This window comes from Homo sapiens, chromosome 14, assembly GCF_000001405.40.
Source record: "Homo sapiens chromosome 14, GRCh38.p14 Primary Assembly".
Lineage (NCBI taxonomy): Eukaryota > Metazoa > Chordata > Mammalia > Primates > Hominidae > Homo > Homo sapiens.
This window is the reverse complement of record NC_000014.9, coordinates 94,051,658-94,074,680: the sequence shown is the minus strand read 5'-3', so window position 1 is coordinate 94,074,680 and position 23,023 is coordinate 94,051,658. Positions and strand designations below refer to the sequence as shown.

Sequence of the window (23,023 nt, the reverse complement as noted above, 5' to 3'; positions counted from 1 at the left end):
GGTAAAGTGGGCATTATTGCTTTGTGTTTGATCTTCTGGGGAAAACATTTAGTCTTTCACCATTAAGTCTGATCTTAGCTGTAGGTTTTTTGTAGGTGCTTTTTATCACGTTGTGGAAGTTCTCTTTGATTTCTCATTTGCTGAGAGGTTTTATCAGGGTTGGATGTTGGATATTTTTCAAATGCTTTTTTACTGCATATATTGAAATAGGTGGTTTTTCATTTTTAGTCTGCCAATGTGGTGAATGACATTGATTTTCAATTATGAAATTAGACTTACATTCCTGGGATAAACTGAACTTGGTCACAATATACTATTCTAATTATATTTTGTTGGATTTGATTTGCTAAAATTTTGTTGAGAATTTTTGAACTTATGTTCATGGGATAGTTGTAGTTTTCTTGTAATGTTTTGGTGTTGGAATCAGTAATGTAGCTTCAGAATGATTTCTGAAGTATTCTGTTCAGTTTTCTGAAAGAATTTATACAGGATTGACATTTTATACCCAACTTAAATTTTTGGTAGAATTCATCTGAGCCTGCACTTGTCTTTGTAGGAAGATTTTTGACTACAAATTTACTTTGTTTAATAGATTAGAGATATTTGTGTTACTTATTTTTTTCTTTTTTTTTTTTTTTGAGATGGAGTCTCGGTCTGTTGCCCAGGCTGGAGTGCAGTGGTGCGATCTCAGCTCACTGCAAGCTCTGCCTCCTGGGTTCACACCATTCTCCTGCCCCAGCGTCCCAGGTAGCTGGGACTACAGGTGCCCACCACCATGCCCGGCTAATTTTTTGTATTTTTAGTAGAGACAGGGTTTCACCGTGTTAACCAGGATGGTCTCAATTTCCTGACCTCGTGATCTGCTCGCCTCGGCCTCCCAAAGTTCTGGGATTACAAGCATGAGCCGCCACACCCGGCCACTTATTTTTTTCTTGAGTGACTGTTTTCTACTTGCAGTTCTATTAGTTTTTGTTTCATGTATTCTGACAATCAGTTTATGTGAATACATGTTTTATGGATTAAAATATTAGATTATTATTATATCCTCTAAATGAATTGGCTTGTTATCGTTATGAAATGGCCCCCTTTATCCTTAGTAATTTTTTTTTGTTCTAAAATGTCCTTTGGTATTGATGCAGCCAGTCCAGCTTTATTGATTAAGGGGTTAGCATGGTATGTGTTTTTCAATACTATTACTTTCCCTTATTTATATTTAATGTGAATTTCTTATAGGCAGCATATAAATGGGTCTTGCTGTTTAATCAGACAGTTCGTGTCTTTGAGTTGAATTATTGAAGCCAGGCATGGTGGCTCACATCTGTAATCCCAGCACTTTGGGAGGCCAAGGCATGTGGATCACTTGAGGCCAGGAGTTCAAAACCAGCCTGGCCAACATGGCGAAACTGTCTCTACTAAAAATACAAAAAAATAGCCAGGCGTGGTGGCATGTGCCTGTAGTCCCAGCTGCTTGGGGGGCTGAGCCACAAGAATTGCTTGAACCCAGGGGGCGGAGGTTGCAGTGAGCTGAGATTGTGCCACTGCACTCCATCCTGGGTGACAGAGTGAGACTCTATCTCAAAAAAAAAAAAAAAAAGAAAAGAAAATTAATTGAGTTACTGAGATTATTTACGTTTAATGATTATTGATAATGGTGGGTTTACTTATTTATTTTTTGACTGATAGCATACCTGATTTATTTATTTTTTTCACATTTCTGTTTTTTATTTTAAATTTTTTTTTCCTTTTCTATGTTTAGATGTTTATTTTTAATTTTTTTAAATTTTTCCATAAGTTATTGGTGTACAAGTGGTATTTGGTTACATGAGCAAGTTTTTTTGTTTGTTTGTTTTTTGAGACGGAGTCTTGCTTTGTCACCCTGGCTGGAGTGCAGTAGTGCTATCTCAGCTCACTGCAATCTCCACCTTCTGGGATCAAGCCATCCTCCTTCCTCAGCCTCCCAAGTAGCTGAACTACAGGCATGTGCCACCATGCCCGGCTACTTTTTGCATTTTTAGTAGAGACAGGGTTTCACCACGTTGGCCAGGTTGGTCTTGAACTCCTGAACTCAAGTAATCTGCCCACCTCGGCCTCCCAAAGTGTTGGGATTACAGGCGTGAGCCACTGTGCCAGTTTAGTGGTGATTTGTGAGATTTTGGTGCACCTATCACCCGAGCAATATACGCTACACCATATTTGTAGTATTTCATCCCTTGCCCCTCTTTCATTCTTCCCCCCAAGTACCCGGAGTCCATTGTATCATTCTTATGCTTTTGCATCCTCATAACTTAGTCCTGCATATCAGTGATAACATACGATGTTTGGTTTTCCATTCCTGAGTTACCTCACTTAGAATAATAGTCTCCAGTCTCATCCAGGTCACTGCAAATGCTGTTAATCCATTCCTTTTTATGGCTGCATAGTATTCCATCCTGTATATACCACAGTTTCTTTATCTACTCGTTGATTGATGGGCATTTGGGTTGGTTCCATGATTTTGCAGTTGTGAATTGTGCTGCTATAAAATTATGTGTGAAAGTATCTTTTTTGTATAATGACTTCTTTTCCTCTGGGTAGATACCCAGTAGTGGGATTGCTTGATCAAATGGTAGTTCTACTTTTAGTTCTTTAAGGAATCTCCACGCTGTTTTCCATAGTGGCTATACTAGTTTGCTTTCCCACCAGGACATAGAAGTGTTCCTTGTTCACCACATCCATGCCAACATTGTTTTTTTTTTGAGATGGAGTTTCGCTCTTGTTGCCCAGGCTGGAGTGCAATGGCGCAATCTCGGCTCACTGCAACCTCTGCCTCCCGGGTTCAAGTGATTCTCCTGCCTCAGCCTCCCGAGTAGCTGGGATTACAGGCATGCGCCACCATACCCAGCTAATTTTGTATTTTTAGTAGAGACGTGGTTTCTCCATGTTAGTCAGGCTGGTCTCAAACTCCCGACCTCGGGTGATCCGCCCATCTCGGCCTCCCAAAGTGCTGGGATTACAGGTGTGAGCCACTGTGCCCGGCTTTTTTTCTTTTTTTAAGTCAAAGGCTCACTCTGTTGCCCAGGCTGGGGTGCAGTGGCACAATCTTGGCTCACTGCAACCTCCGCTTCCCAGGTTCAAGTGATTCTCCTGCTTCAGCCTCCTTAAGTAGCTGGGATTACAGGTGCCTGCCACCATGCCCGACTAATTTTTGTATTTTTAGTAGACATGGGGTTTCACCATGTTGGCCAGGCTGGTCTTGAACTCCTGACCTCAGGTGATCTGCCCACCTCAACCTCCGGAAGTGCTGGGATTACAGGCATGAGCAACCGTGCCTGGCTGCCAACATCTACTGTTTTTTGATTTTTTGATTATGGCCATTCTTGCAGGAGTAAGGTGGTATCACATTGTGGTTTTGCTTTGCATTTCCCTGATCATTAGTGATGTTGAGCATTTTTTCATGTTTGTTGGCCATTTGTGTATCTTCTTTTGATAATTGTCTATTTATGTTGTTAACCCACTTTTTGATGGGATTTTTTTTTCTTACTGATTTGTTTGAGTTTGCTGTAGATTCTGGATATTAGTCCTTTGTCAGATGTATAGATTGTGAAGATTTTCTGCCACTGTATGGGTTGTCTATTTAGTTTGCTGACTGTTCCTTTTGCTGTACAGAAGCTCTTTAGTTTAATTAGGTCCCAGATATTTATCTTTGTTTTTATTGCATTTGCTTTTGGGTTCTTGGTCATGAAATCCTTGCCTAAGCCAATGTCCAGAAGGGTTTGTCCAATGTTAATTTTCTGGAATTTTTATAGTTTCAGGTCTTAGGTTTAAGTCCTTAATCCATCTTGAGTGGATTTTTGTATAAGGTGAGAGATGAGGATCCAGTTTCATTCTCCTACAGGTGGCTAGCCAGTTATCCCGGCACCATTTGTTGAAAACAATGTCCTTTCCCCACTTTAGGTTTTTGTTTGCTTTGTTGAAGATCAGTTGGCTGTAAGTATTTGGGTTTATTTCTGGGTTCTCTATTCTGTTCCATTGGTCTTTGTGCCGATTTTTATACCAGTATCACTCTGTTTTGGTGACTATGGGCTTATAGTATAGTTTGAAATCAGGTAGTGTGATGCCTCCAGATTTGTTCTTTTTGCTTAGTCTTGTTTTGGCTATGCAGGCTCTTTTTTGGTTCCATATGAATTTTAGAATTGTTTTTTCTAATTCTGTGAAGAATGATGGTGGTATTTTGATGAGATTGCATTGAATTTGTAGATTGCTTTTGGCAACAGTCATTTTCACAATATTGATTTTACCCATCCATGAGCGTGGGATGTGTTTCCATTTGTTTCTGTTGTCTGTGATTTCTTTCAGCAGTGTTTTGTAGTTTTCCTTGTGGACGTCTTTTGACTCCTTTGTTAGGCATATTCCTAAGTATTTTTTTTTTTTGCAACCATTTTAAAAGGGATTGAGTTCTTGATTTGATTCTCCACTTGGTCGCTGTTGGTGTATAAAAGAGCTACTGATTTGTGTACGTTAATCTTGTATCCGGAAACTTTGCTGAATTGTTTATCAGTTTTAGGAGCTTTCTGGAGGAGTCCTTAGGATTTTCAAGGTAAATGATCATATCATCAGCAAACAGTGCCAGTTTGACTTCCTCTTTACTGATTTGGATGCCCTTTATTTTTTTTCTCTTGTCTTATTGCTCTGGCTAGGACTTCCAGGACGATGTTGAAGAGGAGTGGTAAGAGTAGGTGGGCATCCTTGTCTTGTTCCAGTTCTCAGAGGGAATGCTTTCACCTTTTCCCCATTCAGTATTATGTTGACTGTGGGTTTGTCATAGAAGGCTTTTATTACATTAAGGTGTGTCCCTTGTATGCCAATTTTGCTGAGAATTTTAATTGTAAAGGGATGCTGGATTTTGTCTAATGCTTTTTCTCCATCTATTGAGATCATGTGATTTTGGTTTTTAACTCTGCTTATGTGGTATACCACATTTATTGACTTGCATATGTTAAACCATCCCTGCATCCCTGGCATGAAACCCACTTGATCATGGTGGGTTATCTTTTTGATATGTTGTTGGATTTGGTTAGCTAGTATTTTGTTAAGGATTTTAGGATCTATGTTCATCAGGGATATTGGTCTGTAGTTTTCTTTTTTGGTTGTGTCCTTTCCTGGTTTTGGTATTAGGGTGATGCTGGCTTCATAGAATGAATTAGGGAGGGTTCCTTCTTTCTCCATCTCGTAGAATAGTGTCAAAAGGATTGGGACCAGTTCTTTGAATGTCTGGTAGAATTCTGTTGCAAATCCGTCTGGTTCTGGACTTTTTTTTGTTGGTAATTTTCTAATTACCATTTCAATCTTGCTGCTTGTTATTGGTCTGTTCAGGGTATCTCATTCTTCCTGACTTAAGCTAGGAGGGTTTTTTTTCCAGGAATTTATCCATCTTTTCTAGGTTTCCTAGTTTATCTGTGTAAAGGTGTTCATAGTAGCCTTGAATGATCTTTCTTATTTCAGTGGTTTCAGTTGTAATATCTCCTGTTTTGTTTTATAGTGAGGTTATTTTGATTTTCTCTCTTCTTTTCTTGGTTAATCTTGCTAATGGTCTGTCAATTTTATTTATCTTTTCAAAGAACTAGCTTTTTGTTTTGTTTATCTTTTGTTTTTTTGTTTGTTTGTTTCAATTTCATTTAGTTCTGCTCTGATCTTGGCTATTTCCTTTCTTCTGCTGGGTTTGGGTTTGGTTTGTTCTTGTTTCTCTAGCTCCTTGAGATGTGACCTTAGATTGTCTGTTTGTGCTCTTTCAGACTTTTCGATGTAGCCATTTAGGGCTATGAACTTTCCTCTTAGTGCTGCCTTTGCTGTATCCTAGAGGTTTTGATACGTTGTGTCATTATTGTCATTCAGTTTGAAGAATTTTTAAATTTACAAACTGATTTTGTTTTTGACCCAATGCTCATTCAGGAGCAGGTTATTTAATTTTCATGTATTTGCATGGTTTTGAAGGTTCCTTTTGGAGTTGATTTCCAGTTTTATTCCACTGTGGTCTGAGAGAGTGCTTGATATAATTTCAATTTTCTTAAATTTATTGAGGCTCATTTTATGGCCTATCATATGGTCTATCTTGGAGAAAGTTCCATGTGCTGTTGAATAGAAGTATATTCTGCAGTTGTTGGATGAAATGTTCTGTATATATCTGTTAAGTCCATTTGTTCCAAGGTATAGTTTAAATCGATTGTTTCCTTGTTGACTTTCTGTCTTGATGATCTGTCTAGTGCTGTCAGTGGAGTATTGAAGTCCCCCACTATTATTGTGTTGCTGTCTGTCTCATTTCTTAGGTCTGTTAGTAATTGTTTCGTAAATTGGTGAGCTCCAGTGTTAGGTGCATATATGTTTAGGATTTTGATATTTTCCTGTTGGACAAGGCCTTTTACCATTATATAATGTTCCTCTTTGTCTGTTTTAACCATTGTTGCTTTAAAGTTTGTTTTGTCTGATATAAGAATAGCTACCCCTACTTGCTTTTGGTGTCCATTTGCATTAAATGCCTTTTTCCACCCCTTTACTTTAAGTTTATGTGAGTCCTTATGTGTTAGATGAGTCTCCTGAAGGCAGCAGATAGTTGGTTGATGAGTTCTGCATCCATTCTGCAGTTCTTTATCTTTTAAGTGGAGCATTTAGACCATTTCCATTCAATGTTAGTATTGAAATGTGAGGTACCCTTGCGTTCCTCATGCTCTTTGTTGCCTGTGTACTTTAGTTTTGTTTTTTTGTTTTTGCTTTTTAACTTGTATGTCTGCATCCTGTGTGATTTTTACTTTATACTTTAAAGAGGTTGTTCTGTTTTAATACGTCTCCAGGGTTTGTTTCAAGATTTAGAGCTCCTTTTAGCAGTTCTTGTAGTGGTGGCTTGGTAATGGCAAATTGTCTCTACATTTGTTTATCTGAAAACAATTGTATCTTTCCTTCATATATGATGCTTAGTTTTGCTGGATACAAAATTCTTGGCTGAAGATTGTTTTGTTTGAGGAGGTTGAAGATAGGGCCCCAGTCCCTTCTAGCTTGTAGGGTTTCTCCTGAGATGTCTACTGTTAATCTGATAGGTTTTCCTTTATAGGTTATCTGGTGCTTCTGTCTCACAGCTCTTAAAATTCTTTCCTTTGTCTTAACTTTGTATAACCTAATGACAGTGTGCCTAGGTGAAGATCTTTTTGCAGTGAATTTCCCAGGTGTTCTTTGTGCTTCTTGTATTTGGATATCTAGGTCTCTAGCAAGGCTGGAGAAGTTTTCCTCAATTATTCCTCCAAATATGTTTTCCAAGCTTTTAGCATTCTCTCCTTCCTCAGGTACACCGATTATTAGGTTTGGTCATTTAACATAATCCCAGACTTCTTAGAGCCTTTGTTCATTTTTTCTTATTCTTTTTTCTTTGTCTTTCTTGGATTGGGTTAATTTGAAGATCTTGTCTTTGAGCTCTGAATTTCTTTCTTCTACTTGTTCAGTTCTATTGCTGAGACTTTCCCCAGCATTTCACATTTCTAAAAGTATGTCTAGAGTTTCCTGAATTTTTTATTGTTTTCTCTTTATGTATTTCCTTTAATATTTCTCCCTCCACTTCTTGTATCATTTTTTGGATTTCCTTGCATTGAGACTTTATCTTTCTCTGGTCCCTCCCTGATTAGCTTAATAACTAACCTCCTGAATTCTCTTTCAGGTAAATCAGGGATTTCTTCTTGGTTTGGATCCATTGCTGGTGAACTAGTATGATTTTTTGTTGGGGGCTGTTGAAGAGCCTTGTTTTGTCATATTACCAGGGTTGGTTTTCTGGTTCCTTCTCATTTGGGTAGGCTGTTTCAGAGGGAAGGTCTAGGGCTGAAGGCTGTTGTTCAGATTCTTTTGTCTCATGGAGTGTTCCCTTGATGTAGTACTCCCCCTTTTCCTATGGATGTGGCTTCCTGTGAGCCAAACTGCAGTGATTGTTGTCTGTCTTCTGGGTCTAGCCACCCAGCAAATCTACCCGGCTCTGGGCTGGTACTGGGAGTTGTCTGCACAGAGTCCTGTGATGTTAACCGTCTATGGGGCTCTCAGCCACGGATACCAGCGCCTGTTCCGGTGGAGATGGCTGAGGGTGTGTTGGACTCTGTGAGGGTGCTTAGCTTTGGTAGTTTAATGCTCTGTTTTTGTGTTAGTTGGCCTCCTGCCAGGAGGTGGCACTTTCCAGAAAGCATCAGCTATAGTATGGAGAGGGACCAGCAGTGGGTAGGGCCCTAGAACTCCCAAGATTATATGCCCTTTGTCTTCTGCTACCAGGGTGGATAGGGAAGGACCATCATGTGGGGGCAGGTCTACGCCTGCTCTGACTCTCCTTGGGTGGGTCTTGTTGTGGGTGTTGTGGGGGATGGGGGTTAGATTCCCAGGTCACTGGAGTTGTGTACCTAGGAGGATTATGGCTGCCTCTGGTGAGTCATGCAGGTTGTCAGGGAAATGGGGGAAAGCCAGCAGTCATGGGCCTCACCCAGCTCCCTCACAAACCGAAGGGCAGTCTTACTCCCACCGTGTCCTCCCCAACAGCCCCAGTCTGTTTCCGGGAGGAGGGCTTGAAAACTTGCCCAAGGTTATCTGCTTCCCAGCTCTGAAAGAAAAGGGGCTTTAGTTCTTCCCCTACCTGTGAAGTCTGGATTCGTGCCCTCCCCCGAGTTCTGGCCAGGAGGCTTCTGGTCCTGTTCAGATTGTTAAATCAAATTGTTACAGAATTTGGCTAGAGAATGCCTTCTTTCTGTGGAGTTTTGCCCCCAGCTCCTGTGGCCACCCTCCCAGTGGATCCCTGTGGTGCCAGGCAGGAATGGGCTGCTTGGGGACCCAGCGAGCTCCCAGGGCCTTTCTGCTGCTTCTTCTACCCCTGTATTTCGCTCAGCTCTCTAACTTGACTCAGCTCCAGGTAAAGTCAGAAACTTCTCCTGCAAACAGACCTTCACCTTCTCTAGTGGGGGTGTGTGTTTGGGAGAGGAGAGCCTCCCTCCTCTCCACAGTTGGGGCACTCACGGTATTTGGGGGTCTCCTGGGTCCTGCTGGAGCAGTCCAGTTCCTTCAGAGGGTCTGTGGTTCCTCTCAGGATTACTGGTTTGTTCTTGCAGTCAATCTGGAGCTAAAACTCACAATGCAAGCCTCCCCTTGCTGCTCTTTCAGGAGTTGCAATCTAGTCCTCCCTCCTGTCTGCAGTGATCCCGGGAGCAGCATCAGTGGTTAGGTTTAAATCTGTTACTTTTCTATTAGTCCCAGCTCTTCTTTGTTTCCTTCTTTGGCACTGAATTTGTGTGTGTGTGTGTGTGTGTCAGAGAGAGAGATACTATTAAGATCTACCCATACGCCGGGTGCAGTGGCTCACACCTGTAATCCCAGCACTTTGGGAGGCCAGGGCAGGTGGATCACGAGGTGAAGAGATAGAGACCATCCTGGCCAACATGGTGAAACTGCATCTCTACTAAAAAAAAAAATCAAAAGTTACTTGGGTGTGGTGGCAGATGCCTGTAGTCCCAGCTACTTGGGAGGCTGAGGCAGGAGAATCGCTTGAACCTGGAGGTGGAGGTTGCAGTGAGCTGAGATTGTACCACTGTACTCCAGCCTGGCGACAGAGCAAGACTGTGTCTCAAAAAAAAAAAAAAGATTTTCTACCCACAGAACACTCTTGGCATCAAATGTGTGGGTTTTTCCCACACTCACAACCAGCTCTGCAACTCTGTGGACACCAACTGGTTATCCTACAATTCTGTTCAATTCAGACACTATCTACCTGGAGCTAGTGTCATTCCTTACAGGTTAAGGGCTCAGTCCCACAAGGTTGCCCCCATTAATGATGCTAATCACAAATAATGGTACTTCTGGTCAGCTTGGCTACAAATTGGGTATTCCCACAACACCTTCCTCAGGTTCAGCACTTTGCTATGCCTGACAGAATTCAGGGAAACACTTTACTTGTATTTAACAATTTATTATAAAAGATGTAACTGAGAAACAGCCAGATGGATGAGATGACTAGGGCAAGGTATGGGGCGGGGTTGGAAGTCAGGAGAGGTAGGGCATGGAGTTTTCATGGTCCCTGGGTACACCACCCTGGAATCTATCCGAACTCCATCGTTTAGAGATTTTGTGGAGGTTCCATTGCATAGGCATGATTGATAATTGATTAAATCATTGGTTGTTAGTGACTGAGCTCAGTCTCCAGTCCCTCTTCCCTCCCTGGAGGTTGGTGGGGAGAGGCAGCTGAAAGTTCCATCCCCCATCCTGAAGCTGTCTAGGGACTCCAGCCACTAGTCATCTTATTAACATGCAAAAAGATGCTCTTACTACTACAGATATTTTTAAGGTATCACAAGGTTTTATATCAGCAACAGAGGACTAAGACCAAATATTTCAACAAAAGATGCCCCTGTCACTGAGAAAGTTACAAGGCTCTTAGAAGCTCTGTGTCAAGAATTAGGGACAGGGACTATAATACATATATATGCATAGATACCATTTTATCTTTTTTGTTGTCTTATTAGCTATAATTCTTAACGTCTTTTTAGTGATTGCTTTGGGGTTTATAGTATATATCTTTTATTATAGTTTACCCTCAAGTAATTTACTACTTCGCATACAATGTAAGAACCTTACAAGAGTATTTTCCATTTCTCCCCTCCTTTGTGCTTTTTGTTGTATACTTCATATGTGTTAGAGATTCTAGAATACATTTTTATTATATTTGCTTTAAACAATTATTTTTAAAGATGTTTAAATAAGAAAAATAAGGGGTTTTGTTTTTTTGTTTGTTTTTAGAGACAGTATCTCCCTCTGTCACCCATGCTGGAGTGCAGTGGCACGATCATGGCTCACTGCAGCCTCAAACTCCCATGCTCAAGCAATCCTCCTGCCTCAGCCTCCCAAGTTTCGAAGACTACAGGAGTGTGCCACCATGCCTGGCAAATTTTTTTAAAGATGGGAGTCTCACTATGTTGCCCAGGCTGGTCTTGATCCTCCCGCCTAGACCTCCCCAAGTGTTGGGATTACAGGCATGAGCCACCATGCCTGGCCATAAAAAGAAGTTTTTAAATATTTACCTACGTAGTTACTGTTTCGGTTGCTCTTTATTTCTTTGGGTACATCCAGATTTTCATTTTATGTTATCTTTGCTATTGCATGAAAGACTAATATTTCTGATAGCTTACATTTGCTGCTGGTGAATTATTTCAGCTTTTATATGCCTAAAGTCTTTATTTCACATTTTGTTTTGAGTGGGTGTAGGGTTATAGATTGTCAGGGTTTTATTTTTAGGCATTCAAATAAAAAATATTGCTACACTGTCTTCTGGCTTTTCATTGTTTCTGATAAGTCTGCTGTTCTTCTTATCAAAAGTTTCATGTGTCTGTTTTTGCTCTCTTTTTTCCTTATAGTATCTTATTTTTGTGTGTGTGGTTATTTTTTACTGAGAGCTGCTTATTTCCTTTGAAAATTGTGAAAATTTTTGGAGATGTATGGTAATGGTTTCTCCCTTGAGAAAGCATTTATTGGCTTCTGCCTAGGGCATTATCACTTTGGAACTTCTTTAAATTCTCAGCCTGAGATGTTTTGTTTTGACCACCCAGATGATTTGGACTCTGTGTACATTCAAAGGCCAGTTTGAAAATGTTCAGGCATAGACAAAAGTTTTATATTTACATTTTCTGAAAACTTAAGAAAATTTTCTTTTACTCCTTTCTCACCAAAGAAAAGTCTTGGGAAAGTATTGTATGGATTACTGTTTCCTGCTCCTCACAGAAACAACACATACACCCAAAACTTGCCCTTTCTCTCTTTATTGTTTCATTTCTTGGACATTTGTAATTCGTTACTGGTGACCTAAGACCTCAGTGCTAGCCTGCCATACTTTTCCTCGGGTTCTAATTTACATGTGCCTTCTGGTTCCTTCTGGGGAAATCTGTGTAGAGTGGAGGAGCTTTGGGTCGGTCAGGGTGGCACTTGGCTACCTTATTCTATGCAAAAGAATGAATTCCAGACTAAAGTATGTTCATCTGTTGATTCACACTGTTTTTACTTTGTTTTGTTTTTTTACTTTTAAGGAAGTGGGAAAACTCTTGCCTTTGCCATCCCAATGATTCATGCGGTGTTGCAGTGGCAGAAGAGGAATGCTGCCCCTCCTCCAAGTAACACCGAAGCACCACCTGGAGAGACCAGAACTGAGGCCGGAGCTGAGACTAGATCACCAGGCAAGGCTGAAGCTGAGTCTGATGCATTGCCTGACGATACTGTAATTGAGAGTGAAGCACTGCCCAGTGATATTGCAGCCGAGGCCAGAGCCAAGACTGGAGGCACTGTCTCAGACCAGGCGTTGCTCTTTGGTGACGATGATGCTGGTGAAGGGCCTTCTTCCCTGATCAGGGAGAAACCTGTTCCCAAACAGAATGAGAATGAGGAGGAAAATCTTGATAAAGAGCAGACTGGAAATCTAAAACAGGAGTTGGATGACAAAAGCGCCACCTGTAAGGCATATCCAAAGCGTCCTCTGCTTGGACTGGTTCTGACTCCCACTCGAGAGCTGGCCGTCCAGGTCAAACAGCACATTGATGCTGTGGCCAGGTTTACAGGTGAGGTTTAGTTCCATTTAATAAATATTTTCTAGGTAAATCCCAAATGCTCGTTGGTAAAGATGAATGAGCTGTGGCTCCTGCCCTCTAGGGTAAGCCACTCTCATCTATAAGCCAGACAATTAAGCCCTACAGAAAATTGATATAGTGACATTTTTTCAGTTCCCTCAAGGATAATACATGGTTGGTGCCATTGTGGATGCATAGGAAATTTATTGGATACAGTAGATGCTCAGGGCAGGGATTAGCAAACTGTCTGGTTTTATAAATAAAGTTTTGCCGGAACACACCCACACCCATTTGGTTTTATATTGTCTGTGGTTGGTTTTGTACTACAAAGGTGAAGTTGAGTAGAGTTAATAGTTGTGACAGAGACCATCTGGCCTATGAGGTCAGTAATGTTCACTAGTGACCCTTTCAGAAAAAGTTGGCTGATCCCTGCTCTAAGCTATTAGGATTTAATTCTCTCAGGGAATTCACTCTGGGAAGGGCTTCACTCTGGGAATCTTAATTTTATAATGAAAGCAGCAATTAATTACCAAGTTGTTACTATTGCTAAGCCCTTTACCCACATGATACTATGAGAATTTCTGCACCAGAGACGAAAACAACAGGGCATTAGTGGACCTTTCAGAATAATTCTAACTGAGGGAATGGAAGGGCTTCCTAGGAGAGGTGTAGCACAGCTGCAGGTCATATTCCTCCCAGCATTATGGTGCCCCAGTGCTCCGTTTTCCCAGAGCTTTGGAGGTAAGCATACCTGGGTTCAAATTCAGCCCCTTTGGTGTGGTTGGAGGGGAGGGAGTAGAAAAGAAATGAGGCTGAAGAAGTAGAGCTCAGATCACAGAAGACTTGGTAAGCCCTCTAGGAGTGGCGTCAACAGTCTGGCCAGGCCTGCTCTTTTAGCAATGCTCTAGGGCATTACACTGTGCTGATGTCTGTCTCTGCTAATCTGGGGTGCCTGTGTCAGCCATGTAAGAAAATGATCACCCAGATTGAATAAGTGTCCCTTATGTTTTCTGTCCCATAGGAATTAAAACTGCTATTTTGGTTGGTGGAATGTCCACGCAGAAACAGCAGAGGATGCTGAACCGTCGTCCTGAGATTGTGGTTGCTACTCCAGGCCGGCTGTGGGAATTAATTAAAGAAAAGCATTATCATTTGAGGAACCTTCGGCAGCTCAGGTAATAGATGGCACTTCTCTTTTCCCCCTCACTGCCTTTTCTGAAATGAGCCTTAGGTGACATGGTGTGGGCAATGCCTTCTTCTCATCGCAGAATGCTATGGTGTGGTATCATCCAGACCCTGGCCTTTAGAAAGCCAAGAGTGCATGAGGGAGATTAGTTGAGGGCCTGATGGTGGTGGTGGTAGTGGGGTGTGTACGTGTGTGTGTGTGTGTGTTTAGGATGAGTGTAGGGTGTGCTATAGATGATTCCTCTTAACCCGCTGCTGACCAATGATATGGGTCTCTCTGGATCTGCAGGTGCCTGGTAGTGGATGAGGCTGACCGGATGGTTGAGAAAGGCCATTTTGCTGAGCTCTCACAGCTGCTAGAGATGCTCAATGACTCCCAATACAACCCAAAGAGACAAACGCTTGTTTTTTCTGCCACACTCACCCTGGTGCATCAGGCTCCTGCTCGAATCCTTCATAAGAAGCACACCAAGAAAATGGATAAAACAGCCAAACTTGACCTCCTTATGCAGAAAATTGGCATGAGGGGCAAGCCCAAGGTCATTGACCTCACAAGGAATGAGGCCACGGTGGAGACGCTAACAGAGACCAAGATCCATTGTGAGACTGATGAGAAAGACTTCTACTTGTACTACTTCCTGATGCAGTATCCAGGCCGCAGCTTAGTGTTTGCCAACAGTATCTCCTGCATCAAACGCCTCTCTGGGCTCCTCAAAGTCCTTGATATCATGCCCTTGACCCTGCATGCCTGTATGCACCAGAAGCAGAGGCTCAGAAACCTGGAGCAGTTTGCCCGTCTGGAAGAGTAAGTTAGGACTGTCCCCAGAGGCTTAACCTCTAGTTAGTTACTGGGGTAAAAGGGGTCAGGATGGTGGGGAAATGGTAGAAAAGCCACCTTCTGTCATAGGGGCCTTGTCTCAGTAGTAGGTAGCCTTTTTTTTTTTTTGCACAGCATTTGGCAAGGTTACTGTCATTTAGTGAATTTGGTTGCAGTTAAATGCCATACAGAAACTTCAATACTAATGAATATAGGTGACAATACATAATATTGAATGTATAGACAATAGATTAGGTCCTGTGCTGGCACTTTAGATTCAGAATCACATTCAGTTACTCTCCTAACATCCTTAAGAGGAAGCAGAATAGATTCATGGTTAAGAGCACAGATCCTGGAACCAGAATGCCTGAAATCAAATCCTAGTTCTGTCACTCCTTAGGTGGTCAAGTTATTTAATTTCTCTGTACTTTAATTTTCTCATTATTTGGATAATAATAGAACCCATTCTAGGGTTGTTATGAAGATTGATTGTAAATTCATGCGTGTAAAGTGTTTAGAACAGTCTCTAGCACATAGTATGTATATATTGCTAAATGTTAGCTTTAATAATTTCTAGTCCCTTTACTACTTATTACCATTATCACTATTCTCATTTATAGATGGAAAAATGAGGTCTAGAAAAGCTGATCAGTGTGCCCAAGGTTTCTCTGCCTGGAAGTGGTAGAGCTGGGCCTCAGACAAGCCTGTCGGACCTCAGAGCCCATGCTATTTCTTATTCCTGATGTCTTTGTCCATCTGCCTTTGGACCAGACTGATGCTCAGGGAATGGGGTGCAGATTGTCAAGATGAGGGCCTGGAAAGTTGAGGCAGACTACAAAGTGTCTTTTGCCAGTGTTTTGTCAGGTCATGGGGTAATTAGTTTCTAGAACAAGTGTTTGATTTACTGGTTTTTAAAAATTGGTAAGTAGTATCAGTGGTTTACTGAGATTAGCTTAGAACAAGGCTTGGCAAACTATAGGCCTCGTGCCAAATCTTGCTTGCTGCCCTTTTTTTTTCTAAGATGGGGTCTTGCTATGTTGCCCAGGTTAGACTTGAACTCACGGGCTCAAGCAATCCCACCTTAGCCTCCTAAGTAGCTAGGACTACCAGTGCATGCCATCACACCTGGCTGCTGCCTGTTTTTTTAGTAGACGTTTTACTGGAACACAGCAAGACCCATTTATGTATTGTCAATATCCTCTTTTGCGGCAGAGTTGAATAGTTGCCATAGAGACTGTGTGGTTCACAAAGCTGGAAATGCTCTCTGGCTCTTTACAGAAAAAGTTTGCTGACCTTGATCCAGAGCAGTAGTTTAATGTTTTACAAACTAGGATTTGCATTGCATTTCCCGGCCTCAGCTCAGACATGCAGGGAGTGAGGACCCTGAAGGGCCAGAGTCTTATGTTTTGAAGCACCTCAAGTACTTTTGACTTTCCATGAACCACACATTGAGAAACATCATCCAACACATTTATCAAGTGCTTACCATGAACCAGATGTTGTTCTCTGTGGTGGTAATAACAGCAGTGAGTAATGCAAAGTCCTTGCTCTCATGAAGCTTACATTCTAGTAGAGGGAGATAATAAATTGCAAAGTAAGCCCACAGTCTGCCAAGTGATCCTAAGAAGTAAGTCGAGCAGGGGTTGGAGAAAAGAGATTGGGTATGTGTGGTCAGTCTCTGATGAAGTGAGAATTGAGCAGAGAGCTGAAGAAAGTAATGAAGTGAGTCATATGGACATCTGAGGCAAGACCCTTTAAGGCCTTAAGGAGTAGCAAGTGCAAAGGCTTGGAGGTGAGAGCATGCTTGGTTTGTTTGGGGAAGAGCAAGGAAGTCTGTGTGCCACTGGGAGGAAGTAAATGAGAGGGTGCTAGGAGAGGAGTCACTGACCCAGAATATGTATGGCCTCATTTAACTCACTGAAGGGAGTCTTTATCATTGCAGAGTATGGCATGTTGGTTGGGGTCAATGAGTCCCAAATTTGGATCCAGACTCCACAGCTGAATAGCCATGTAGATAGCTTGGGAAGTTAATCTCTCCGAGCCTCAGTTTTTCTGTAAAAGGGTATACAAGTGATATCTTACAGAGTATTGGTAAGGACTGTAATGTTTAGGATGCTCAGCAGTTGGTAAGAATTTGATTAAAGATAGCTGTTAGTTATTATTAATAAGCTTTCTCTCTCTACCCCAGCTGTGTTCTCTTGGCAACAGATGTGGCAGCTCGGGGTCTGGATATTCCTAAAGTCCAGCATGTCATCCATTACCAGGTAGGGGCATCTGAAAATTTATAGGCATCTGCCTGCACTGAATGGGGAATTTTTAAGGCAAAGGTTGGGGGAGGGAGGAGGAATTGTTGGTTCCAAGGCTCTTGCATCAGAGAATACCACTGGCATCGAGTGCCCACTACTCCCACTTTTGCAACACTGCTGAGATTTGGTCTCCAGAAAACCTTGCTTTGTCTCATGTCAAGTAGCCCTTCTCTCCAAGCTACTTGATATTGTCAGGTTAGAGTCTTAGTTTTTTCTGTGAAATGGGCATAAGTTAAGCATGTAATTGGTTACCCTGATGTAGAGAAGTATTAATAGAAGAGTGTGGTAGTTTAGATCTCTCTGGGCTCAAATCCCAGCTGTGTAACCTTGAACAAGTCATGTAATCTCTCTGTATCTCAGTTTTCTCATGTATTAAATGGCAGTGAGTACCTGCTTCTTAGGGTTCTTACTGAGGTAAAATAAGTTACTAAGTATAAAGAGCTTAAGAAGCCACCTGGCACATTGCAAGCACTTACTCATGTTAACTGCCATTGATAGTAGCAGTAATATTAGTGTGTGCATCTAGTGAATATCAGCATAAAATTTTGGTTAGGAGTATGGGCACCGGAGCCAGACTGCCAGGCTTTGAATCCCCAGTCTGCTGCTTCATAGTTGGTTAGCTTTAGGCAAGTTATTTAGTACCTCTGGTTTCAGTGTCATTGTTTGTAAACTGGAAGTAACAACTAGCTACCCCATAGGGTTATCCTGAGAATTAAATTGAGCTGATGCTGATGAAGCCGGTAGCACAGTGTAAGTACTCAATAAATGGTAGCTGGTATGGCATTATCATTTTTCCTCTTTAATTCCTCTTTGTGCTTTTAAAAATCTTTTAGGCTGCTGTTTCAGAGAAACAACAAACTCACAGTGCTTTTTCCCATTCTCTCACTTCACAACAACAATCAACATAGAAGACTTCTGTAACCAAATGTGTGGGCGTTTTTCACCACATATCAAGCAGCAGCCACCAGCTGGGTGTCCTCTAATTTAGTTTCATTTTCTGATGCTGTCTTCCTGGAGATAGCCTCAGATCCCACAAGATGTCCCTCCTCCCCGCAACCAGTCGATAAGTCAGGGCCTCTGGAACTTCTGACCAACCAGCTTCAAGTTGGGGTTCTCATGACCCCCCGCTTTGGGTTCAATTAATTTGCTACAGCAGCTCTCAGAACTAAAAGAAACACATTTACCAGTTTATTATAGAGGATATTACAAAGAATATAGATGGGGAGATGTATAGGCTGAGGTACAGGGGAAGGAGCATGGAGTTGCCATGCCCCTCCTGGGTACACCACCCTCCAGGAATGTCCACATATTCAGCTTATTCAAAAGTTCTCCAAACTCTGTCCTTTAGGAATATTTATGGAGACTTCATTGGGTAAGATGATTAATTAAGCCATTGGCCTTTAGGAAGTAGTGCTGCAAGTCCCAACCTTCTAATCCTGCCTTGGCCTTTCTGGTGACCAGCCCCCATCCTGAAACTACCTGGGGGGCTATCAGCCATCAGTCAATAGTTTGTCATTAGTATACAAAAAGACATTACTTTTGAGATTCCTTTGCCAGGAAACAGGATGAAGAGCAAATACATATTTCACTGTATCACAGGTGCTAATTTTGGTTTAGCAAATCTCTATAGTCTTCCCTTTTTTGGGGAAGGAGCTGGGTCAACCTTTGTGGAGTCAAGATGAATCAAATACAGTCCCAGCCCCTAAGAAGTATTGGATCCAGCAGAGGAGGTGAGATGACCACAGCCATAATTTAAGGCAGAAGGTATTAGAAAATTACAAAATACAATGGAAGAGAGAGGTAACTTCTAGTTTGGGAGGTTGGAAAGTACTTTCTAAAAACATGCCTGGCATTTAAGGGTGAAGAGGATTTGGACATATAGAGGCATTAAAGGAAGGAGCAAAGAAATGGGCAGTGTTCAGGGGCACTTGGCTCACAGTGAGAAGAGGGTATGTGTTGGGAAAGGAATAGTTGCTGAGGCTGGAGGGGTAAGTTGAGGGCAAGTCACTAAAGGCGCTGAGTGTCAGGTTGAAGAGTTGGGCCTTTATCCTGTAAGTAAAGAAAGGCAAATCTCATTTCTAGAACTCTTATGAACAGTTCATAGTGGCTACTTAAAGTACTGTATTGAAAAGGATACCTAGATGTTATCTGGGCCCAGTGGAGAAGACTGTTGTGCTTGATTAATGGTGTGTGCCAGGGGCTCAGTGGGTGTGTTAGCAACCATGCCACATTATCTATGGATAAAATATATATAGGAGTAGAGACCGTATAACCCAGGGATTAACATGGTCTGTGGAGCTGGGCTGCTTAAATCCTGGATAAGAAGTGACTGCTGTGGTCTGGCTGCATGGTCCTGAGGACCTGAACCAGGGTCAGGGGCATGGGAGGGAAGAGCCTACACAGTGAATGGGCTAAACCTGGGAACATTTTGAATGTGGGACTAAGAGAGGAGGGCTAGATTGCTCTACAATGCTGCAGAAGTTTCTACCTGCCTGGCTGGGAGGTAGGAGGGTCTGGTTTGGGGATGTGGCCCTGAGGAGAGGACCAGTGTTTGGCAGTGGCCATGTATTGATCTCCCAGTTCTTCCTGTGGCAGGTCCCACGTACCTCGGAGATTTATGTCCACCGAAGTGGTCGAACTGCTCGAGCTACCAATGAAGGCCTCAGTCTGATGCTCATTGGGCCTGAGGATGTGATCAACTTTAAGAAGATTTACAAAACGCTCAAGAAAGATGAGGATATCCCACTGTTCCCCGTGCAGACAAAATACATGGATGTGGTCAAGGTAGAAAGCAGTTAAAACCCCAGTGCTAATGAAGGGATTGTGCTGCTCCCTTGCAGAGCACCTTGCTGTGGGACTCTGGCAGCATAACCCTTGAAAACTAAGGAATGGTTCTGCCAACAGCTGAACAAGGAGACTTGTAGAAAGGATTGAGAGCAACATACCTGGGAAAAGGGAGAAAAGGGGAGTGACTGAAGGTGGGAGGCATTTTCTCCCTGAACCATTTCTTCCTTCTCTGGCCCTGAAGTCCCCCCTCCTCACCAGACAGTGCAGTGGTCATGGCTGTCTGGATATCCTGTCAGAGGGTTGTAGACAGTGTGGTTAGTGTTTCCTGCTGAGGCAGATGCTACAGGTTTGGCACATCCCTGGAGCAGGTGCCAGTAAATTCTGTCTTTTGGGTTTTAACTCAGCAGGCATTCCCCAGGTAGGTGCCGCTTACCATGGGACACTGTATTAGTGACCAAAGTGGGGTGGGTTCTCCTTCCCAGAGGTTTGCCAGCTGTGAATAAAGTTCAGGTACAGTGGAGCAGTATGGAATTACTGGGCATATGGTTACATTGGGAGGAGAAGAGGTTCTATCCCAGCTTCCTGCTGGCAAAGATGTGGAAGGGTACAGAGGAGGTGGAATTCCAGGAATTGAGGGAGCAAAACCATGGCACAGTTCAAGGAATGTTGGCTTCTCTGGCTCAAAAGGAATATTAGCTGTGTGGGGAAATAGGGTGGAGATAAGGATGGAAAAGTGGAAATCATAGAGAATTCCCATTAGTAAGGAGGATTAGGAGCCACCCAGGCTTCCCTTGGTTTCTTTCCCCACATCACAAGATCCTTCTCATTTTGCCACTGCACTGTAACCCCAAAACCCTCTAGAGGGAGAGTTGAAATGTTTTATCTTAGCTCAGCTGTGGAAGCAAGCTGTGGCATCTGCGTAAAGACTTCACTTTGGTTACCTATAGGTTGGCAGTCAAACCAGTAAGGGTTTTCAAAGGATGTGGCTGTTCAGGTTGATTGTTGGGAAAGCTGGCAGTTGTGTTTAGATGTGTACACACAGACGGGTAATGGTTGCCCACTGGACTTTTATCAGGAAGCAATAAATGCATTTCAACAGGAACTGAACTGCATCTCACCACTGATCTCAAGAGCTTTTTATTTATTTATTTTTAATTTTTAATTTTTAATTTTTTTTTGAGACGGAGCTTTGCTCATGTTGCCCAGACTGGAGTGCAGTGGCACAATCTTGGCTCACCACAACCTTCGCCTCCCGGGTTCAAGTGATTCTCCTGCCTCAGCCTCCCAAGTAGCTGGGATTACAGGCATGCGCCACCATGCCCAGCTAATTTTGTATTTTTAGTAGAGACGGGGTTTCTCCATGTTGGTCAGGCTGGTCTTGAACTCCTGACCTCAGGTGATCCGCCCGCCTTGGCCTCCCAGAGTGCTAGGATTACAGGTGTGAGCCACCATGCCCGGCTCAAGAGCTTTTTAAAAACACTACTTGCTGGGCACGGTGGCTCACGCCTGTAATCCCAACACTTTAGGAGGCTGAAGTGGAAAGATTGCTTGAGCACAGGAGTTCAAGACCAGCCTAGACAACACAGTTGAGACCCTGTCTTTACGAAAAAAAAAAAAAAAAAAAAAAAAAAAAAGAAATTACCTAGGCATGGTGGTGCCTCCCAGCTGCTTGGGAGGCTGAGGTGGGAGGATTGCTTGATCCAAGGAGGTTGAGGCTGCAGTGAGCCATGATCATGCCACTGCTCTCCAGCCTGGGCAGCAGAGTGATACCTGCCTTAAACACACAAACACAACTCAAGTGAGACTTTGCTTCCCAGAGGCCTGAACTCTATTTCAGATGAATATTTTCTGTTACTTCCCCCCAGGAGCGAATCCGTTTAGCTCGACAGATTGAGAAATCTGAGTATCGGAACTTCCAGGCTTGCCTGCACAACTCTTGGATTGAGCAGGCAGCAGCTGCCCTGGAGATTGAGCTGGAAGAAGACATGTATAAGGGTAAGCCCTTGGGCGGGATGGGAATTGAGGAAGTTGAAATCTCTCTTTAACTTTTGCTTTGTTGGAACCATCTCTACTACTGTGGGTCTTGTCAAAATCAGCAAGGCGTCCTTCCCCCTCTTTGCTAACAGGCCCTGGTCCCAGGTGAGCCTACTGCCCTCGGTCAGTCTTTGTTTCCTCTGTCTCTGTCTTGTGCCCTCAGCTGCCTCCTCTTACATGGACAGGCAGTGGAGTACAGTGAGGAAGGGAGCAGGCTCTCTGGCCAGGCTGCCTGTGTTAGAATGCCGGCTCATTGCCTTAACTATGTGACTGAGTCAAGTTATTTAACCTCTGTTGTGTTCTCAGCTTTCTCCTCCATAAAATGGAAGTAGTCAACTACCTACTTCATGGGATTGTTGTGAAGACTGATTGAGTTAAAAAATGTTAAGTGCTTATAGCATTGCCTGGCAAATAGAAAGTATTACATTTTAAGTTATTTGTCATTATGGTTCCTACTACACCTGCCTTCCAAGCTGACAAAGCACTTCCATGCCATTATCTCATTTGATCTTCTCCACTTTCATGACATGAACACAGCAGGAAGTACTCTTCTTTTACATATGGAAACTAGATACCACAGCAGAGGCAGTTTGTGCAGGGAAACAGCTCTGTCACAAGGCATTTCCAGAGCTGCTACTCTATATGTGACCACAGGCTGAGGCTTCAGGGATGAATCTGCCCGGTCCCTGCTTGAGAAAACTCCTGGTCTAAAAAGTGGTAGAACCAAATCTAGAACTCCATGCTCCTTCCACACCACCAAGTATGCAGCTCAGCAGAGATGTTGACACCTCGGTGCCCAAGTCAGCAAATTCAGAGGCAGACTTAACTGCTGTCTGCTCAGCATGGAAGCCAGGAGCCAAACCAGTGGGCTTGATGACAGTGAGCTATTTCTGGTGGCTCAGGGTTGGGGCTTGGGCCGAAGATGTGGAGGCCCTGGCTTCCCTTCCTGAGGACAGACTGAGGTGGAACCTTTTGGCTCTGCCAGCTTCTCCATGTGCAGTCACAGCACTGGTGGCAAGGCATAGGAGAGCTGGGCTACAAAGAAGCATTCAGTGTCTCCTGGGGCGGCAGGGAGGTGGGGGTTGTAATTGTGAACTCACCAAACCCCAGGTGGGCAGTAAGTGGGTGGGTCATAGGAAGAAAAGTGATCTTCAGTCAGGAGACTTGGGTTCTGGGCTCTGTCTGATGACTGGCTCTGTGATGTGAGCCAGGTGACTTCTCTAACCCTGAGTTGCCTCATCTGTAAAGATAATTCCAGTCTTGGAGGATTTTTATGGAGTAAAAAAGGACAGAGCGGTCCT

At 43.0% G+C, this 23,023-nt stretch overlaps 1 protein-coding gene across 1 annotated transcript in view, besides 2 other annotated features; it reads left to right on the top strand.

Moving 5' to 3' along the window:
- The window catches only part of DDX24 (DEAD-box helicase 24), a 32,916-nt gene that overhangs the window by 6,522 nt on the left and 3,371 nt on the right, over positions 1–23,023 (top strand). Inside the window, exons 3-8 of the mRNA NM_020414.4 lie at positions 12,060–12,584; positions 13,615–13,768; positions 14,068–14,583; positions 16,784–16,859; positions 19,497–19,685; positions 21,554–21,683. Of these exons, the coding sequence (NP_065147.1) occupies positions 12,060–12,584; positions 13,615–13,768; positions 14,068–14,583; positions 16,784–16,859; positions 19,497–19,685; positions 21,554–21,683 (1,590 nt within the window). The remainder of the gene's footprint in view (positions 1–12,059; positions 12,585–13,614; positions 13,769–14,067; positions 14,584–16,783; positions 16,860–19,496; positions 19,686–21,553; positions 21,684–23,023) is intronic.
- Positions 13,317–14,516: an enhancer, noted in NCBI's record as "CDK7 strongly-dependent group 2 enhancer chr14:94526511-94527710 (GRCh37/hg19 assembly coordinates)". NCBI's record gives its function as "activates an origin of replication core promoter dependent on BRD2, BRD4, P300/CBP, MED14 and CDK7 cofactors, with strong dependence on CDK7, by STARR-seq in HCT116 cells {active_cell/tissue: HCT116}" and the evidence as "EXISTENCE:reporter gene assay evidence [ECO:0000049][PMID:35650434]".
- Positions 21,348–22,277: an enhancer, noted in NCBI's record as "NANOG-H3K27ac-H3K4me1 hESC enhancer chr14:94518750-94519679 (GRCh37/hg19 assembly coordinates)". NCBI's record gives its function as "activates a minimal SCP1, AML or CMV promoter by ChIP-STARR-seq in naive H9 embryonic stem cells {active_cell/tissue: H9 hESC(naive)}" and the evidence as "EXISTENCE:reporter gene assay evidence [ECO:0000049][PMID:30033119]".